General features: G+C 46.0%; 1 protein-coding gene and 1 long non-coding RNA gene across 7 annotated transcripts in view; one reads left to right on the forward strand and one right to left on the reverse strand.

Moving 5' to 3' along the window:
• Positions 1-18,123, reverse strand: part of FAM219A (family with sequence similarity 219 member A) — a 60,387-nt gene that overhangs the window by 17,686 nt on the left and 24,578 nt on the right. The window lies entirely within an intron of this gene.
• On the forward strand, positions 968-8,976 carry LOC124902145 (uncharacterized). The gene is made up of 3 exons (XR_007061465.1): positions 968-1,101; positions 6,769-6,868; positions 8,717-8,976. It is a non-coding gene; the product is annotated as an uncharacterized LOC124902145 (long non-coding RNA).

Genomic DNA, 18,123 nt, shown 5'->3' on the forward strand with positions numbered 1-18,123 from the left:
AAACACAAGAGATGGTGAGAGTGCTCCCTAGGTTTCAGTCTCTGGTTCTAGAGCCTGCCTTACCCATCCAAAGCTTGACTTCATGCTGTGCTTAGGCATTATAAGAAACCCAGCCTAGGCAAGATAGCAAGAAGGTGACTCTCCAAAAAGACAAAAAATTAGCCAGGTGTGGTGGCACACACCTGTAGCCCCAGCTACTCGGAAGGCTGAGTGGGAGGATTGCCTGAGCCCAGGAGGTTGAGGCTGGAGTGAGCTATGATTGTGCCACTGCATTCTAGCCTGAGTGACAGAGTGAGATCCTGAGAAGAAAGAGAAAAGAAAGAAAGAAAGAAAGAAAGAAAGAAAGAAAGAAAGAAAGAAAGAAAGAAAGAAAGAAAGAAAGAAAGAAAGGGGGAGGGAGGGAGGGAAGGAAGGAAGGAAGGAAGGAAGGAAGGAAGGAACGAAGGAAGGAAGGAAGGAAGGAAGCGGAGAGAAAAGAAAGAAACCCTAGTGTCTTCATAGTCTGTTCTCTTTCTTAGCTTCAGTTGGGTTTTTTATTTTGTTACTGTAATCAGAGAGTAGCAACTAATACATGTGCATAGAACAACATTTAAAGAACATAGTATATTTTGTGGCTGGGCCCTGTGGTTCACGCCTGTAATCCCAGCACTTTGGGAGGCCGAAGCAGGAGGATCACTTGAGGCCAGGAGTTCGAGACCAGCCTGGCCAACATGGCAAAACCCCTTCTCTACTAAAAAATATAAAAATTAGCTGGGTGTGGTGGGGTGCTGAGGCATGAGAATTACTTGAACCTGGGAGGTAGAGGTTGCAGTGAGCCAAGATCATGCCACTGGACTTCAGCCTGGGCAACAAAGTGAGACTCTGTCTCAAAAAAAAAAAAGTATGATTTTTTTATTTCTGTATTTTTAAAATTAGTATCAGAACATAATCAGCTCTCCATTTTTTTTTTTTTTTTTTTTTTAAATAGAGGCAGGGTCTTTCTTGTTGCTCAGGATGGAGTGCAGCGGCTATTCACAGGCACAATCATAGCTTACTACAGCCTTGAACTCCTGGACTCAAGTGATCCTACTACTTCAGCTTCCCGTGTATCTGGGATTACAGGTACATGTCACTGCACCTAGCTTTATCTTCTCCTTCTTCCTTCTTCCTTCTTCCCTCTTCCCTCCTCCTTCTTCCCCTTCCCTTTCCCCTTCCCCTTCTCCTTCTTCTTCTTTTTGGAGTCAGAGTCTCGCTCTGGTGCCCAGGCTGGTTGCCCAGGCTGGAGTGCAGTGGTGTGATCTCGGCTCACTGCCTCAGCCTCCTGAGTACCTGGGATTACAGGCATGCACAACCATATCTGGCTAATTTTTGTATTTTTAGTAGAGACAGGATTTTGCCATGTTGGCCAAGCTGGTCTCGAACTCCTGGCCTCAAGTGATCCTCCTGCCTCGGCCTCCCAAAGTGCTGGGATTACAGGTGTGAGCCACCATTCCCAGCCCCTAGCTTTATATTCTTACATAGTTTTTGTAACTATCAGTTTAATGGCTGCATAATACCTATAGAGAGGATGTAGAGTAACTTTGTAACCATTCATTTATTTTTGACATTCAGGTTGTTTGCAACTTTTCACTATTATAGATAATGCTACACTGAAATCCACATATATTTACATTTAGGATCATTTCCTAAATAAAGTAGATTACTCAGTAAAAAACATGAGTGCTTTTAAGTTTCTTGATAGATATTGCCAAAATGCTTTCCCAAAGGATTGTTCCAATTTACAATGCCTCCTGTCATGACTGAGAGTATAGCTGGTTTTTAATGCTTTATTTTTCACTGTGTGCCAGGGAATTTCAGGTCATCACATTTACCCATTATCTTCCATGAGAGCTCTGTTCCAGTCCTCATTTACCTGGTTCCCTCTGGGAAATCTTCTTTCATAGAACAGAATTTCCTCTGGGCATCACCTGCCAGACAAAATACTCCTGACTTGAGGCCACCAATTAAGAACAAAAGGAGGGAAGACTCTTACACTGAAGACTGGGAAGGGCTTTAAGTGGAGCACTGGCACTGCCTGGCAACTGGGCACTGTGCTTTAGCCAGTCCTCACCTGTGCCAGCATGTCAGCTGTAGGAACCGTGACGGTAATTGCGGAGCCAGAAAGCAAATCTCACAGAGTGTGTCCCTTGCTTTTAGATGTGGGGTGGGAGAATTAACCAAAATGGCTTTGGAGTTACCCCAGCTAGGGCAGCAGCTCCTATTACCCTACCTATTATTTAGTTTTCAGAAATAGCTACTCAGGAACAGGGAGAGAAAAGGATGGTGAAAGTATGAAGCTGGTAGTGAGATGGTAAAAAAAAAAAAAAAGGATTTGTTTTTGAAATGAAGAGACAGGGGGCCAAAGAATGTTTTAAAAGATGATTTAGAATCCTGCTCTGCTTCTTCATGGTTAGGACAAGACTGATGTCTTAGACTGATGTTCTGCTATTCATTCCTATTACCACTCACCAGAAAACCCTGTCATAAAAAATTCTTCATTTGGGAGATAGGATAAATACCTCAACTCAGGGATAATCACTGTAGCTATGGCTTGGGGGAAGCCTGTGCATAAGGGCCTAAGGGCCAAGCCTCATGACCCAGGAGGTAGACACCAGAATCATAAGTGGAGAAGGCTTACTTCCTTCTGGGAGGACTGGCTTGGCCTACTCCTGGCCCTCATCCCCTTAGCCAGATGTTGAGGATGCTCCTGCCTTACATTTGGACCAGTTTAAGACATTGGTCTTGGCCTATGTCAAGTCTTGTGACCTACAAGGTCTTTGAACCCCACATCACCCTCGCCTCCCCCATTTCAATCTCTTTAGGGAAAGATCATCTAATTTAATGGAGAAAGGAGTTAAGGTACAAAGTTCTTTAAAAATAGATCTACAATGGTTAAAATTGGCCAGATGCAGTGGCTCATGCCTGTAATCCCAGCACTTTGGGAGGCCGAGGTGGGTGGATCACTTGAGGCCAGGAGTTTGAGACCAGCCTGGACAACACAGCGAAACCCTGTCTCTACTGAAAACACACACAAAAAATTAGCCAGGTGTAGTGTTGCACACCTGTTACCCCAACTACTCAGGAGGCTGAGGTAGGAGAATCTATTGAACCTGGGAGGCAGAGGTTGCAGTGAGCCAAGATTGCACCACTGCACTCCAACTTGGGTGATAGAGCAAGACTCTGTCTCAAACAAACAAACAAACAAACAAACAAACAAAGCCCCATGATGGTTAAAATGGTAACTTTTATGTTATGCATATTCTAATACAATTTTTTTTTAAAAAAATTGAGAAGCAGGACCTAGGCAGCAAAATAAGAAGGTGTGTGGTGGGCAGTGGGGAGGAGGCAGTCCCTTCCCTTTTCATATTCAGATTCAGACAACACAGACTTTTGGGGATGAGGCCTTTCATAGGAGAGGGAAAATTATTCTAAGACCAGGGGAGTTGGACGGGGCTGGGGATTTGGGGTTGGGTTTCTGGGGGCTTTCTACTTGAGGTGCCCCTTAGACAGGGCCCAGAGGACAGGAAGATGGCAAGGTTGTTCAAGGTTAACAGCGCTTTAGGGAGCACAGTCCAGAGGATCTTTCAGTTTCCTTCTAGAATGTGGATTCCAGTTCTTCAAGATAAGGGAGGAGGCATAGACACTGAGGAGAATACTGCCCAGGAATCAGTACAAGACATGTGGTTGGAGACTCCTTGAGAGCCCCACACCTGGTAGGAAGCAGAAGCAGGAGAAATGCCAGCAGACACTGACATTTGTCTGGGCCAGATTGACGTGTGGATTCTTGTCTGAATCTTGGCCCCAAATCTCACTTAAGGCTTTTTAGTAAGCTTCAATTACTCAAGGAACTGAGCCTGGCCTGCACTGGTTCATAAATCTTTGGGGCTCCTTGATTTGCAGGAAAGCAAAGTAATTGGCAGAGTCTATGGGATTTCTTCCCTCTGGCCTTGGAAGAATAAGGACCAACTTGTCTGCAATGGACAATGGACTTGGAGGGCTAGTATCAAATAGCTTTTCCTCTCTGTGGCATTTCCTGTCGCTGCCCTTCCTCTCCTTTTTAGCTTGTTCTAAGTCTCTAACCCCCATTATGCCTGGCAGGCACTACTCTTTGCCCACAAAGATAATTTGCAGCTCTAAAGCTCAGCTCTCTAGCCAGAGCAGTCTCCTAGTCTTTCCTTTTTGTCATCCCAATAATTAAACATTGGTGAACTTGCCACTTGTTCAGAACTTTGATAATCACTGAACCCCAACAAGGGGGAGGGCACAATGTACACTGGGGAGGGAAAAACACCAAGCCCTGGTTCTTGCCAAGAAGAATTTAAAAGTGCAGAGATGACAGGCACACAGATCAGCCTATTTAAGGAAGAGAGAGGAACAGCAGAGGCAGGAATGCATGGAGGGTGGTAGGAGCACAGAGGAGAGCGATAATGGTAGCGATATTATCTTCTCTGACATACAAGATTGGGCCTGGGCAGGAGCCAGGTTAAAGTGGAGACCTGGCTATTGGTCACTGGGTACTTTGGCAGAGGGTTTAAAGCAACTACTGGTGAAGCTCTGCCCTGGGGGCTAGGACTCTACTTTTCGTTGCTGCTGATGTAGTTCCTACCCTGCCACAGGGCACTCACTTACTCCCCACCTCATTTTGGGGGGTCATTTGCAGCAGGACCTTTTCCTTTACCATTGAGATAAACAGATAACCCAAAGGAAGGGTCAAGAGGCTCTAGGTGGGTGGCTGGAAAGGGTTTTTATTAAGAAGGCAATCAGGGACTGAGAGTCCTGTCCTAAGAGTGCTTAAGAAAGAGAAAGACCAGGCGTGGTGGCTCATGAGCCTGTAATCTCAGCACTTCAGGAGGCTGAGGTGGGAGGATTGCTTGAGCCCAGGAGTTCAAGACGAGTCTGGGCAACAAAGTGAGACCCCATCTCTACAAAAAAGAAAAAAAAACTTAGCCGGGTGTGGTAGCATGTGCTTGTGGACCCAGCTACTTGGGAACCTGAGGCAGGAGGATCACTTGAGCCTGAGAAGTTGAGGCTGCAGTGAGCTGTGATCACACCACTGCACTCCAGCCTGGGTGACAGAGTGAAACTCGTGTGTGTGTGTGTGTGTATGTGTGTGTGTGTGTGTGAGAGAGAGAGAGAGAGAGAGAGAGAGAGAGAGAGAATGGCTCTGCTGAAACAAATTTTGCTGCATCCAGCCAAGCCTAGGGCCTGCAGTCACTCTCACAAGGCCTGTTCCGTGCAGCAGGGAGGTCAGGGCTGAGGGGCCCATAGAGGCCTGGGGGCCAGCCTGGGGTCAAGCAGGTCAGAGAGGGGAAGGGGAGGGTTAACCCTACTTATGAACTCCCATCTGAGTCTCCCAAGAGAAGAAAGTTCATGTGTGTGTGTTATAGGGGTGTGTGTGTGCCAGCTGGGGGTACAGAGGTAAGGAGGGGAGATTGTAGAGTAACACCAACTCAGGGTGTGTTTTTAGGGGTGAGGCTAGCCAGTTGCTGGTTATGCATCTCCATGGAAAACAATACTCAACTGCTAAGCTAGATGGTCCTAGGATACTTGCAGGAACGTCTCTGCAGGCTCAGGGCAGTAGAGAGCCTTTGCCTGCCCACCTGTCACTCCCTGGCTGGTGCAGTGACACTTACCGGCTAACTCATACTCAAGGCATCAATAGGAAGGGGTACCACCTCGTACTCCAGGCATCAATAGGAAAGGCCGCTGAAACAGCAAATGACCAACATTTCCCAAAGAGCCCCCTACAGCTCTACAACCCACATCTCTGAGGACACTTCCTCTTCTCTGAGTACACCCCCCTGCCACAGCCTCCCCCACCCCCATACAACCTCTACCTCTTCTAGACAGCTGACACACCTGCACTGTCTCAACCCTCCACCCCTGCTGAACCCATCTGTGCCCCTAGGACAGTGTTTCTTCATATATTAATGTGCATAGAAATCATCTGGGCATATTATTTAAATGCAGATTCTGATTCAGTAGGTCTGGAACCTGAATTGTCAGCATTTCATATTAGCTCCCAGGTGGTACCAATGCTGTTAATACAGCGACCACACTTGGAATAGTGTGGCTCTAGGCCAGCCTCTCTACGCCCACACCATCCCCAGACAGCCTCTCAAAGAGCCCTCCACCCTGACCTTAACCTGGTTACATTCCTAGTGGCAAGAGGGAACAATAGTCTGGGAAGAGAGGAGAGAAGAGGAGGGACTTCTCAAAGCTCACGTTGGGGAGGCAGCTCTACTAAGAACTCTGGCTGGATCCAGGCAGGGAGTTGTTCGGAACAATTTAGCCCAGGTGTAGTTCTTCCAAAACTCATCCAGTCATTTAGTTAATGTTGCTTAAATACCTGCCAGAGGTACGGCCATGGTGCTAAGTGCTTTATCTATATTATTTCATTGAATCCTCCCCAAAACCAAGTAAGGCAAATATCATTTTCATTTTAAAATTGAAGAACTAGGTTGCATAAAGTAATATGTCCAAAGTCACACCTGGTAGGCAATTTGAATCTAATTTCCTCATCTCTCTTACCCCAGCCCCTTCTCAGAGACTTAGATAAAGTCATGAGATTAACAACGTACCAGAACTTACACCTCTGTGGGACTGTTGTCTTGCAAAGCAGTCACTTGGAAGGCTGGTACCTAGTTCAATCATGTCTCTGGAGCTCAACACAAACTTGTAGCCCCTCTTTAGAAAATAGCATGGATGCTTTCTGATCACAAGCTTCCTGCTCAATTGAGTTCTCCACAGGAAGGAAATATTGGAGCCACTGAAGCAGTCGATAGCTCAAGATGGAGAGAGAGACTGGCAGGAAGCAACAAGAAAGAAAATGCGTTGGAAACTGAGAATGGTGAGCCCAGGAGACAAAAGAAGAGGGCAGTGCAAGAAAAGGAGATGAAAGGGGCCTTAGCCACCAAATTCAGTTCTGGTCCTACATTTTAAGGGCATCTATATTCTAGGCACTGTGCTGGGTTCTGGACATATAAAAATAATATGGGCTGGGCGCGGTGGCTCACACCTGTAATCCCAGCACTTTGGAAGGCCGAAGTGGAAGGATTGCTTGAGCCCAGGAGTTTGAGACCAGCCTGGGCAACATAGTAGGACTCCATTTCTACAGAAAAATTAAAGAAAATTAGCCCGGCATGGTGGCACGTGTCTGTAGTCCTAGCTACTCAGAAGGCTGAGGTGGGAGGATCACTTGAGCCTGGGAGGTTGAGGCTGTAGTGAGCCATGATTGCACAGAGCGACAGAGTGAGACCCCTTCTTCTAAATAATAATAACAATAATAAGGCCCCTGCCCATGAAGAGCTCATAAGCCAGTGAGTGAAGCAAGTGAATAAGCAGATAATTTTAATCATATGCTGAGTGCTATGACAGAGGTTTGTATGTGTACAGGACAGAGGCAACTATCCCACTCTGGGGAATTAGGGAGGACTTCTCCAAAGAAAACTGATGGAGGAAGCAAGAATAGGAAGTATTAGTGAACCAGATGAGGAAAGGAGTGGCAAACAAAAAGAAAAAAGAAGAGAAAGGACTGGTGGGAAAGATGCACATGACTATAGAGCAGGCAAAAAGAACAGGTCAATTTTACTAGAATGTTAATGTTAGGGGACGAAGTGGCAGGTGATGAGTCTAGAATGACAGGAAGACTTAAAATCATGAAGGGCTTTGTAAGATATGTTCAGGGTTTTGGACTTCACCTGGAAATAATGGGGAGCCACTGAAGGATTTTCAGCCCATTGTCAGATTTAGATAGACTGACTGCTCTGGGAGCAGGTCCAAGGAATAGGCAGGAATGATTAAACTGGAGGCAGGGAGGCTAGATAAAGGTCATTGCAGTAGGTGACAAAGCTTGAAAAAGTCAGTGTCAGTGGGGTTGGAAAAAAGGAGGTGGAGAAGAAAAACATGTTGAGGTCAAACCGCTGGGGCACTAAGGCTGACTGGATCTGGGTTTGAGGGAAAAGACTTGAGCTAGGATGACTCCCAGGTTTCCTCCTGACTCAGGTGACTGCGTGAATTGTGATGCCACCAAATAAGATGGAGAAACAGAAATAAGAGTAAGGCTTGTGGTTTTGTTTTGTGTGTAAATATGTGTATGTTTATAAATAAGAAGGGCTTAGAGAAAAAAAATTAAGGAACACCAATATTGAAAAAGTAAGCAGAAGACTGACAGCTACGGTCAGAGGGGTAGGGAACCAAGAAGAGATCAGAGTCATGGATGTCTAGGAAAGGCAGAGTTTTGAGAAGAATAATGTAAGACAGAGGAACCAGAACCGGAGTCCTAGAGGGGCTCTTGTATGACAAGAGAGACTGGAAAATAGTTGAGGCCGGGAGAAAGAACCAGCATAGAATGGCCACTTGTTTGAAGACATGAGGGAGGACTCAAGATGCTGTTCTCAGGCTTGCTGATATTTCAGCAAAAACTTATTTTGTTCTAAGAAATTATGGGTCTGATTCTTGTGAGGCTTGCAAGTCCTCACCGAGAGACATTCTCTAGTAGAAAAGTCCAGTCACGGTCCAGAGATCATGGCACATTTGCTATCTTTTAGGAAGTGTGGGCAAGGGGTGGGCTGAAGGCAAGGGAGGCTGACCAGGGCTTGGCCAAACTAGAGGCAATAGTAAGCAGTTAGGTGGGTAGTCGCCCCAAATTCTGGCTGCACCAGAGTCCCCTGACTTAGTTTTGGCCTATCGTCCCCAGGCTATGGCAAAAAGCAGCAAAGACCCTTGACTTCTAGTCCTTGAGGCAGGGGGCCAAAGCCAACACGGACCTACCAGGAGTGGCCTGAGAATCCAGAACACAGAGAGGAGCAGCCTGCGTTGCGATTTTCCCAGAACCCACAACACTTGTTCCACCAACAGTGAACATCCAGAGGGAGGCTCAACCATGGAACCTATACTCTGTTATGTGGTAATCATGCTTTCTCACCTTTTTGTTTTTTGAAATAGGGTCTCACTCTGTCACTCAGGCTGGAGTGCAATGGCACGACCTCAGGTCACTGCAATCTCCACCTCAGCTCAAGCAACCTGCCACCTTAGCCTCCCGAGGAACTAGGACTACAGGTGTGTACCACCACACCCAGCTAATTTTTTGTAGTTTTGGTAGAGATGGGGTTTTGCCATGTTGCCCAGGCTTGTCTCAGACTCCTGAGCTCAAGCGATCTACCCCCTCGGCCTCCCAAAGTGCTGGAATTACAGGCATGAGCCACCGCGCCCAGCCCTTTCTCACTTTTATTATTATTATTCCTTATGCCTAGTCAAAACTTTCTCACATTTAAACCCTTCAATAATAGTTTTCTGTAAAAATAAACAAATGAGGCCCACAGTGGCTCATACCTGTAATCCAGCACTTTGGGGGGCCAAGGCAGGCAGATCACCTGAGGTCAGGAGTTTGAGACCAGCCTGGCCAACATGGTGCAACCCCGTCTCTACCAAAAATACAAAAATTAGCTGGACATGGTGGTGGGTGCCTGTAATCCCAGCTACTCGGGAGGCTGAGGCAGGAGAATCTCATGAACCTGGGAGGCGGAGGTTGCAGTGAGCCGAGATCGTGCCACTGCACTCCAGCCTGGGCAACAAGAACAAAACTCTGTCTTAAATAAATAAATAAAATAAACAAATGAATAAATAAAAATAATCACTTGACTTAATTATTAGTCTTCAGAGCCAGTAATGTAGTCAGTAACCTGCATGCCTCCACTGTGCTTGGAGAAGTTGAAAAATGTGCAGTTAGTGTTAAGGGGAGATCCTTGTTCTTCTGTCTCCTGCATGCAAACACTGACACCTATGAGTGAGTGGGCAGTGCACTGAGGTGCAGGAAAGCCAGGCTCACACGAGGGCAGAGGACTGGCAGCCTCAATGAGGTTAGACTGACTTTTCCCAAAACTCTGACCTTGCGGACCTACTGCATTATTTAAAAAAAAAATCATATTCTGGGAAAGAACAGCCTGTGCTTGGCTATTTACAAAAGTAGGTCTGTGAATGCTGTTAGAGTTGAATGAATGTTTTATGCTATTTGGTGCATTTTAAGTAACCCAATAGGCTGAAATATTTTTGTTGTGAAGGGAATGCTTGTTCTGTACAATTAAATTTGGTTAGAATTAGAAACTCCAAAATTCCTTTGTTCCTATCAGGGGAGCAATAGTTTGTCTTCACCTACTCTGCAACCTTGTGGCTGTCAGAGGGTTAGTTATAAGGCCTTCACATCTGGGCTTCACAGAAGCACAGAATAGCCATTCAAGGAGTATTTTGGCTTTTATATGGACACCTAATTTCACAGGCAGTAGGATCCTGAATTTTTTATATAATGACTTTCACTCTTTCCACCACTCCCTTCTATTTTACACTCCAATGAAAACATCCCGAATGTTGAAACATCAGTGATTTTGTCCTGTTCCTATGTTTAGGAGAGGAATTTTCAGCTCCTTGTTATGTCCAGGTGGGGCTAAGATGAGTTGTATCTTTATAGATAGGAGAAATGATGGTATATAGAAAGAACCCAAAAATCCCAGATCCTAGTCTATAGTACACCCTGGGCTGTTTTGGATTCTGAGATAATTTTTCATCCTCCCCTTCCCCACCAATAGCCCAGCTCTAGCTAGCTGCAAATTGTCTGGATCGAGCTGCTTTGACATGCTGATGTTATCGGCCTCACAGTGCCTGGAGCATGCAGATAGGAACAGGCAATGGCGCCGTTTCACTGGACGTAGTAATGTAATTTAGTTTCTGAAATCCAAGTATAAAATCTTGAAAGCTGACTTTAAAATCTGCCTCAGGAGGGATGGTGGTGGTGTGGAATTCCCAGCAGAACCATCTAAATAGGGAAATGGCTTCTGTCATGTATTAATAAACAGTTCAGAGCAATGGAAAAATAGAGAGAGGATTGCAGGGAAAGTGAGTGCCTAGTCTTTCTTCCTCCTCCCTCCTCTGAACTGGGCTGCCAGGTGAGGACCATTCCATTTGTGTGATCCCCAGGTTGGGGCTAGAAGCACCTCTCCCTGAGCATTCCTGTGAGGCCCCTGCTGCTAGGAAGATGGAACAGCAGTTTGGGTGGTCTCAACCAGCACTTTTTTTTTTTTTCTCCAGACCAGGCTAAGAATGATGGCAAAGGAGTAGTCACTTGCCTTTACTTCTATCTCCCCAACCTCATCTTGTGCCACTCTTCCCCAGGCTTACTAGTTTGCACACTGGTCTTCTTTACTCCTGATGGGGTATCAATATCCTTTTTAACCTCATGCTCCCCTTCTGGTTAAATTTTACTACATCCTTCAGGCCTCAGCTGACACACATCACCTCTTGTTTTTTTGAGACAGTGCCTTACTCAGTTGCCCAGGCTGGAGTGCAGTGGCGCAATCTCGGCTCACTGCAGCCTCAGCCTCCTGGGCTCAAGTGATCCACCTACCTCAGCCTCCCAAGTAGCTGGGACTACAGGTGCACGCCACCACACCTGGCTAATTTTTGTATACATACATATTTTTGTTGACATGGAGTCTACGTTGCCCAGGCTGGGACACATCACCTCTTAAAAGAAGCTTCCCATAAATGCCAGGCTCAGTTAGATCCTTCTATAATGTAGTCTCACAGCCCCTGCTCCCCCATACATTTCTTTCATGCACTTAGCAAATTTTATTTAAATGACTATTTGTATAATTTGTTTAATAAATGTTCGTGAAGGTAGGGACCATGCCTGCCTCCACTATGTCCTCCCAATGCTTGGCATAGAAAATGAAAGGCCATAATCTGAAAAGACAAACACTGCCTTCTACTTGATTTGAAGGCATAGCAAGGATCTTTCTATAACAGAGAGGTGGCAAACACTCCTGACCTATCAGACCATGCTGGAGTCTTGTCTAATGGTGTCCCACAGACAGATGTTGCATTTTGTGCTCTTTGTAGGACTACTTCTTCACTGTAAGCCTCTGGTCAGGGGCTCAAAGTTATTTTGGAGAACAGCCAAAGTAGGAGTCCCCCAAACCCTCCTTCAACTCACCTGAAGGCTTGGCCTAGTTAAAACTTCACTTAAGGTCCACAGCCAAAGCAGCAACTCAATTTCAGGTCAACTTCTCATGGAGACTAACAACAAACTGAGCAGATAGATGCAGCCTTCTTTGTGACTAAAGGGCTAAGATCAGCCATTAGCTTGCAGATATATACTTCCACAATCAAATGATTAAGGCCCAACTCTTGTTACTGAGTTCGGAAGAATGGGAAACCAGCTTGGAATCCAAACCATCAGAAAACTCTTTGGAGGGAGATAGGAGTGGGGCTGTTCTGATCCTCTGTCTGTTCAAAGTGCTTTCTGACAACCTGGTTCTTGTAACCATGTTCAACAGGCAGTAAACACCCAAGGCAGGGAAACTCTTCAGGATTTAGACATAAGGGCAAACAGATGGTAAAGGAAAATGCAAGAAACCTCCTGGAATAGTAAACACAACCCCTGTCTAGAGAGTAGGGCCTATGAACAGTTTACCTGTGAACTGCACTGACTCTGAGAGTCTAGACAGGTTGTTTCACTTTCTGAGCTTCTAGGTCTGTTTTTATTCAGGCCCTGAGATCCCAGAAAGAGCCTCCAGGGTAGAGAGTAAATGAGTTCTCCCAGGTCAATGCCAGATGGCAGCCCTGGGATTAGAATTCATGGGCCCTTGTTTGCAGCCAGCTGTGCCCTCCCCTGAGTCCTGCACTGTTTCTTCTTCTGAATGCTCAGGATTGTATTCAATTTAGTAAGGTTTGTGGACACATAATCACAGCTCCTAAATAAAACAATTACTACAGAGCATCCGCTGTGAGGAAGACAAACACTGGGCACCTTTGCCCCTGAGAGCAGACTGAGAGCGAGCTCTGGCTGAGTTTAGGTCTGTTCCACTTGAACAAAACCCAACACAAACAAACCCTCTTGGGATCTGGCAAAGTCCTCATCTGTTCTTGTTTCTTCTCCAGGCTTCCTTGTGCATTAAAAGAGCCTGTGCTTAAACCCACAGTAAGGGCCTCTGCTGGAAGCTGGAATGTGCTGTTTCCTGGAGCAAGAGAGAGGCCAAGCTGAGGGACAGCCTGGATCCAGATCCTCTGCACATTTTTTCACCCATAAATTCATTACTACATTGTCAACGGCCCCATCTCCAGGAGCACTATCATGCAACACCTCTTGAGGTGGGCTGGGGGCAGCCCTAGTCCTTCTAGCCCAAACTCTGCCAGGCGTACTCAAGGCTCAGTGAACACCAAAAGTTCTTTTCTTCTCCTTGCTCTCCCCTCTCATTATGACTGGTTGGCACTAGAAGAGGGAGCCTGCAGCTGTTCTCTCAGGGTTTCATTATTTAGCATCAATTTCTTTGACCAGGAGGTTCTTTGAGGTATAATGCATGCCTTTGGGCTTGACAGTTCCTTCAATAAGGGACCCAGAAGCCTAAAAGAGGTGAAGAAAACAAGGTCTCAAAAGGAAGAGGGCCTTGCACAAATTCAGAGCAGGGCTGGTTGAGAGGAACAGGGTCCTGAGTGTTTTCATTGAGCCTCAATCCAGGCAGACTTACCCTCCTCACTCACCAGCTCAGGGAATCATAAAGTGAGAGCTGCTCTGATTCATTTAGCCATGGAAGAGACCTGTAGGTAGAGGAGGAACTTTCAACCAGAAAATTTAATCCCTAGTATATGATTATGATTCTTCTGACCTTTCAGACTCCTCACACATGACTTGGGGAAGTGGGAGGAAGTCCCTCTATAGTGTGAATTTAACTCTTCTCTGCTTGTGGGCTCTGGGGGCCATGTGCATGACTAGGGTTGGGGTGGCAGGTTGCAAGCTCCAGACTCGCTAGTTTTATTTCTGCTTCCATTTGCTACAACACCCACCTCATGTCAATGTCCTTCCCTCTGCAAAAAAAGGCATATTTAAATTAAGTATATTCCTATTGGTAGGCCGAAAGTCCAGTGATGGCTCATGAAAGGATCCTGCTTCAGGCCTTGAAACCTGCTCAGTGTCTCTCCTTAATTTCCCCTCCTTCATGCTCCCTTCGTCCAGATTGAAGAGGGAAGTACAGGGGTATTAGAGACAGAGGACCTTTTAATATTCCCTTGTTCCACTGGTTTCTTACCCCATCCCCAGGACTCCTACTATCCTGAAGTATTAGGGTATCAGGCCCTGGCCAGGGACAGCTTGGGAGATGACATAATTGTCTTGCAAGCTTACTTCACCTTCAGAGTGATGGTGACCTCAACAGAGAGCTAGACATGTGTGGGGGGAGGTAGGGCAGCACCTGGAGGGGATAAGGGGGAATCCCTAGACCTACAGGGCTGGTCTTGGAAAGAGAAGAGGTCATGCCCCTTTCACAGCGAAAGACATGTGCAGGAAGGCTATGCAAAATTAAATAGGCATGGTAGGGCTCAGTGGCTCATCCCTGTAATCCCAGCACTCTGGGAGGCTGAGTTGGGTGGATCTCTTGAGCCCAGGAGTTCGAGACCAGCCTAGGCAACATGTCAAAACCCTGTCTCTACAAAACAAAACAAAAAAAGAAAACACATGCTGGGAGGCTGAGGTGGGCGGATCACAAGGTCAGGAGACCGAGACCATCCTGGCTAACATGGTGAAACCCCATCTGTACTAAAAATATGAAAAATTAGCCTGGTGTGGTGGTGGGCGCTTGTAGTCCCAGCTACTCAGGAGGCTGAGGCAGGAGAATGGCGTGAACCCAGGAGGTGGAGCTTGCAGTGAGCCGAGATCGCGCCACTGCACTCCAGCCTGGGTGACAGAGCAAGACTCCGTCTCAAAAAAAAAAAAAAAAAAAAAGACAAAAAACAAACAAACAACAACAACAAAAAACATTAGCTGGGCACGGTGGTACATGCCAGTAGTCCCAGCTACCCGGGAGGCTGAGGTGGGAGGATCACCTGAGCCTAGGAGGTGGAAGCTGTAGTGAGCAGTGATCATGCCATTACACTCCAGTCTGGGTGCCCGAGTGAGACCATGTCTCCAAATAACAACAACAACAACAACAATAAGTTAAATGGGCACAATGCCTTAAGGACACAGCATCCAGGCCTTTCAGACCCGGCACAAACAGGAGGAGCTCTCCAGGGTTCTGAACCACCTCCCCTTAAGTCCTTGGAGGCTCTGGGCAAGAGCCCTGCCTGCTGGTTAATGCCTATCTTAAATGCCACTGGCTCATCTCTGCCCATTGTTGATAGCAACTGCTTGCTTGGACCCATGGCCCGCATGAACTGAAGTAGCTCCTGCATGACTCCAATCTCTCTCTATGGCTGCAGCCTGGGCTTCATGCCAGCAGCCTAGCTGCCTGGCCAGATTTTCAAGGGGTGAGGCAGAGGATCTTGGTGTGTGTGTGAAAAAATATCTCCTAGTCCCTCTGGAAGCTCAGGATAAAATAGACCTGGCTTGGGGACAAAGTGGCCATAGGGGAGGAAGGGAATTCTCCATGTGATAAATCAACAGACAGCTCATCAGCTCCTCCCCTGCCCTCAGCAGCTGCTGCACACACACGGACACACACACAAACTCACACACGCATATACATGCATGCCAGATTCTCCTCCCTGTCACTGCAGAGCCTGTATTGCTGCAGAGAAGGTAGAGTCTCTTTTGTCTGCACTTGAGCAGAATGCACCTGCTTTGTTTCCCTCATAGATACCACAGAAATCTGGCAAAGAGCACCAAAACTTAAAACTTAAATTAAATAATTATTTCTTTTCCTAAATCCAAGAGGAGAGAGCTGGGTGTGGTGGTATATGCCTGTAGTCCCTGCTACCAGGAAGGCCCAAGTGGGAGGATTGCTTGAGTCCAGGAGTTTGACTCCAGGCTGGGCAACATATTGAGACCCCCTCTCTAAGAAAAGCTAATAAAAAATAAAAACATTTAAAAAAGAGGAATACATAGTCACTGTAAAAAGTCCAGATAAGCACAAAAGAAAAAGGAAAAAAATAAACTTACTCCTACTATCTAGAGCTATCCAGTGTTAACCTCCTGGCACACAGCCCGGGTCCTTGGGTGTATGTGCATGTGCATATGTGCACGCATGTGTGAATGTGTCAGTAAGAGGCAGTATAGTGCAGTGCTTAAAAGCATTGGTTTTAGAGTAAGTCCTATTTGTGCCATTTATTTATCTGTGTGATCTGGGTAAGTTTCTAATCTCTCTGGGTCTCAGTGTTTCATCTTTAGCATGAAGAAAATAATAGTACCTGTAGCTTCCAGCCTACATTCTGCAGCCACAGCCAGGAGATGGCAGGGGGCTTCCTTTTGGTCAAAGTTCTCTCTTCTTGAGCTTTGGGCCTCAGCTCTTTTGCCCACTTGTTCTGGCCATCACTTTCTGCCTTTGTGCCCAGGGGTGTACCATTCTTCTCCAGGGGCTCCTTATGTCAGTCAGTCCATTTGCCTGGCTTAGGCAAGCCTGCTCCTCACTGTGAGTCCTGGCAATTTGATTCTCACATCCACCACCCTCACCTCTTCCTACCTGCTCTACTTAACACTGTTCTCCCTGCAGTCAGCACTGAGCTCCTGGTTAAAAGCCAATGGCTTTTTCTCAGGTGATCTTCTACCACCTTGGGCATCACTGGACAGTGCTGACCACATTTTTCTGGAAGCTATTTTCCCTTGGCTTGCATGGAAACATTATATCTCTATCTGTTTTGACTGCCCTTCCTACTGTCCCTCCTCTTATACTGTAGACATAAGCGCCTTTCCCAGTGGTCAGTGATTCTCTTTCCACATGTTCTCTCTTCGCATCTCATATAAACATATTATTTCAAGTAACAGCTCTCTGGGCTTTACAATCCCAAGCCCATATCTCTAGCTCTGACCTCTCTCTCCAGACCCCATTTCCAACTGCGTACTATTTCCACTGGCGTCACGTTCCTCCCCCAGCCTCGTTCTGCCTTTTAACTATCTGTATCTTGTTATTGGCAAAACACTTTCCCAGTAAATAAACTCAAAAATGGGGCAGGGGCGGTGTGGGGTATCATTTTAAAAACAATTATTGAATTAGTTTTAAAAATTATTTAAAGAGATAGTGTCTCACAATGTTGCCCACACTAGTCTTGAACTCCTGGCCTCAAGGGATCCTCCTGCCTCAACCTCCTGAATTGCTGGGATTATAGGCATGAGCCACTATGCCTGGCTTATTATTGAAATAATTTTGCATTTACGGAAGAGTTACAAAGAAAGTCCAGAGAGTCTTTGTATTCACTTCATATATAAAAAATTGGAATCCTTCTGAAAGAAATATTTGTCCTTTCTCCTCCATTTACTTATTTATTCAATCATGTATTTATATCAGTATGGATTAATGTATACTTATTTTGGGAGGTTATAATCCAATATTATCATATTTGTTTTGTTGCTCAAATGTTTCCAGCTTTGGCCATTGAGAACACTTTCAGGTTGGCTCCTGTTTTAACCTCCCTGTGGGCTCATTTTGATCTACTTCTTCCTCCTTTATCTCTATGGGAAACTAATCATGAACCTAGAAGGTTCTGCAGAATATCTAATGTTTATCTTTAAAAAAAATTATCAGCCAACAACCTGCTTCAGGCCCTTCTCAGCATATTCCAGGATCACTGCAGTAGTAACCCACTCATCTCCCCACCTTGTCTCCTCTTCCTCCAACTCATCTTGTATATTACTGTTAAAAGACTCTTCTGAGAATTAAACACTGCTCTTATTGCAGTACTCCTTTGCTCAAGACCTTCTGATAGCTCCTACCACTTAAAAACTCCTCAACCTGACATCCAATAAGTTTTAAAAACATGACCCCAGTTTGCCAATCTGGCTGCTCCTCCAACTGCCATCTTTCTAAATCCTTTGATCTCTTTGCCCTAACTGTCAGCCCTCTATGCAGATGACTTCCAATTTCTATATCCAGACTGACTGTATCATTTTAAGCCATTAAAAAAAATCTGTATTGGTTTCCTTAACTTATAAAGGTAATGCATATTCAATGGGGAAAGTAACACAATACAGAAGTGAATCAAGTAGGAAATAAGCCTCCGACTCTCCTCTGCCCTCCCCGTTGCTCAGGTTGGTTTTAAGAATGAAGTGGCCTCGGCCGGGCGCGGTGGCTCATGCCTGTAATCCCAGCACTTTGGGAGGCCGAGGCGGGCGGATCACAAGGTCAG

Source organism: Homo sapiens, chromosome 9 (assembly GCF_000001405.40).
Source record: "Homo sapiens chromosome 9, GRCh38.p14 Primary Assembly".
Classification (NCBI taxonomy): Eukaryota; Metazoa; Chordata; class Mammalia; order Primates; family Hominidae; genus Homo; species Homo sapiens.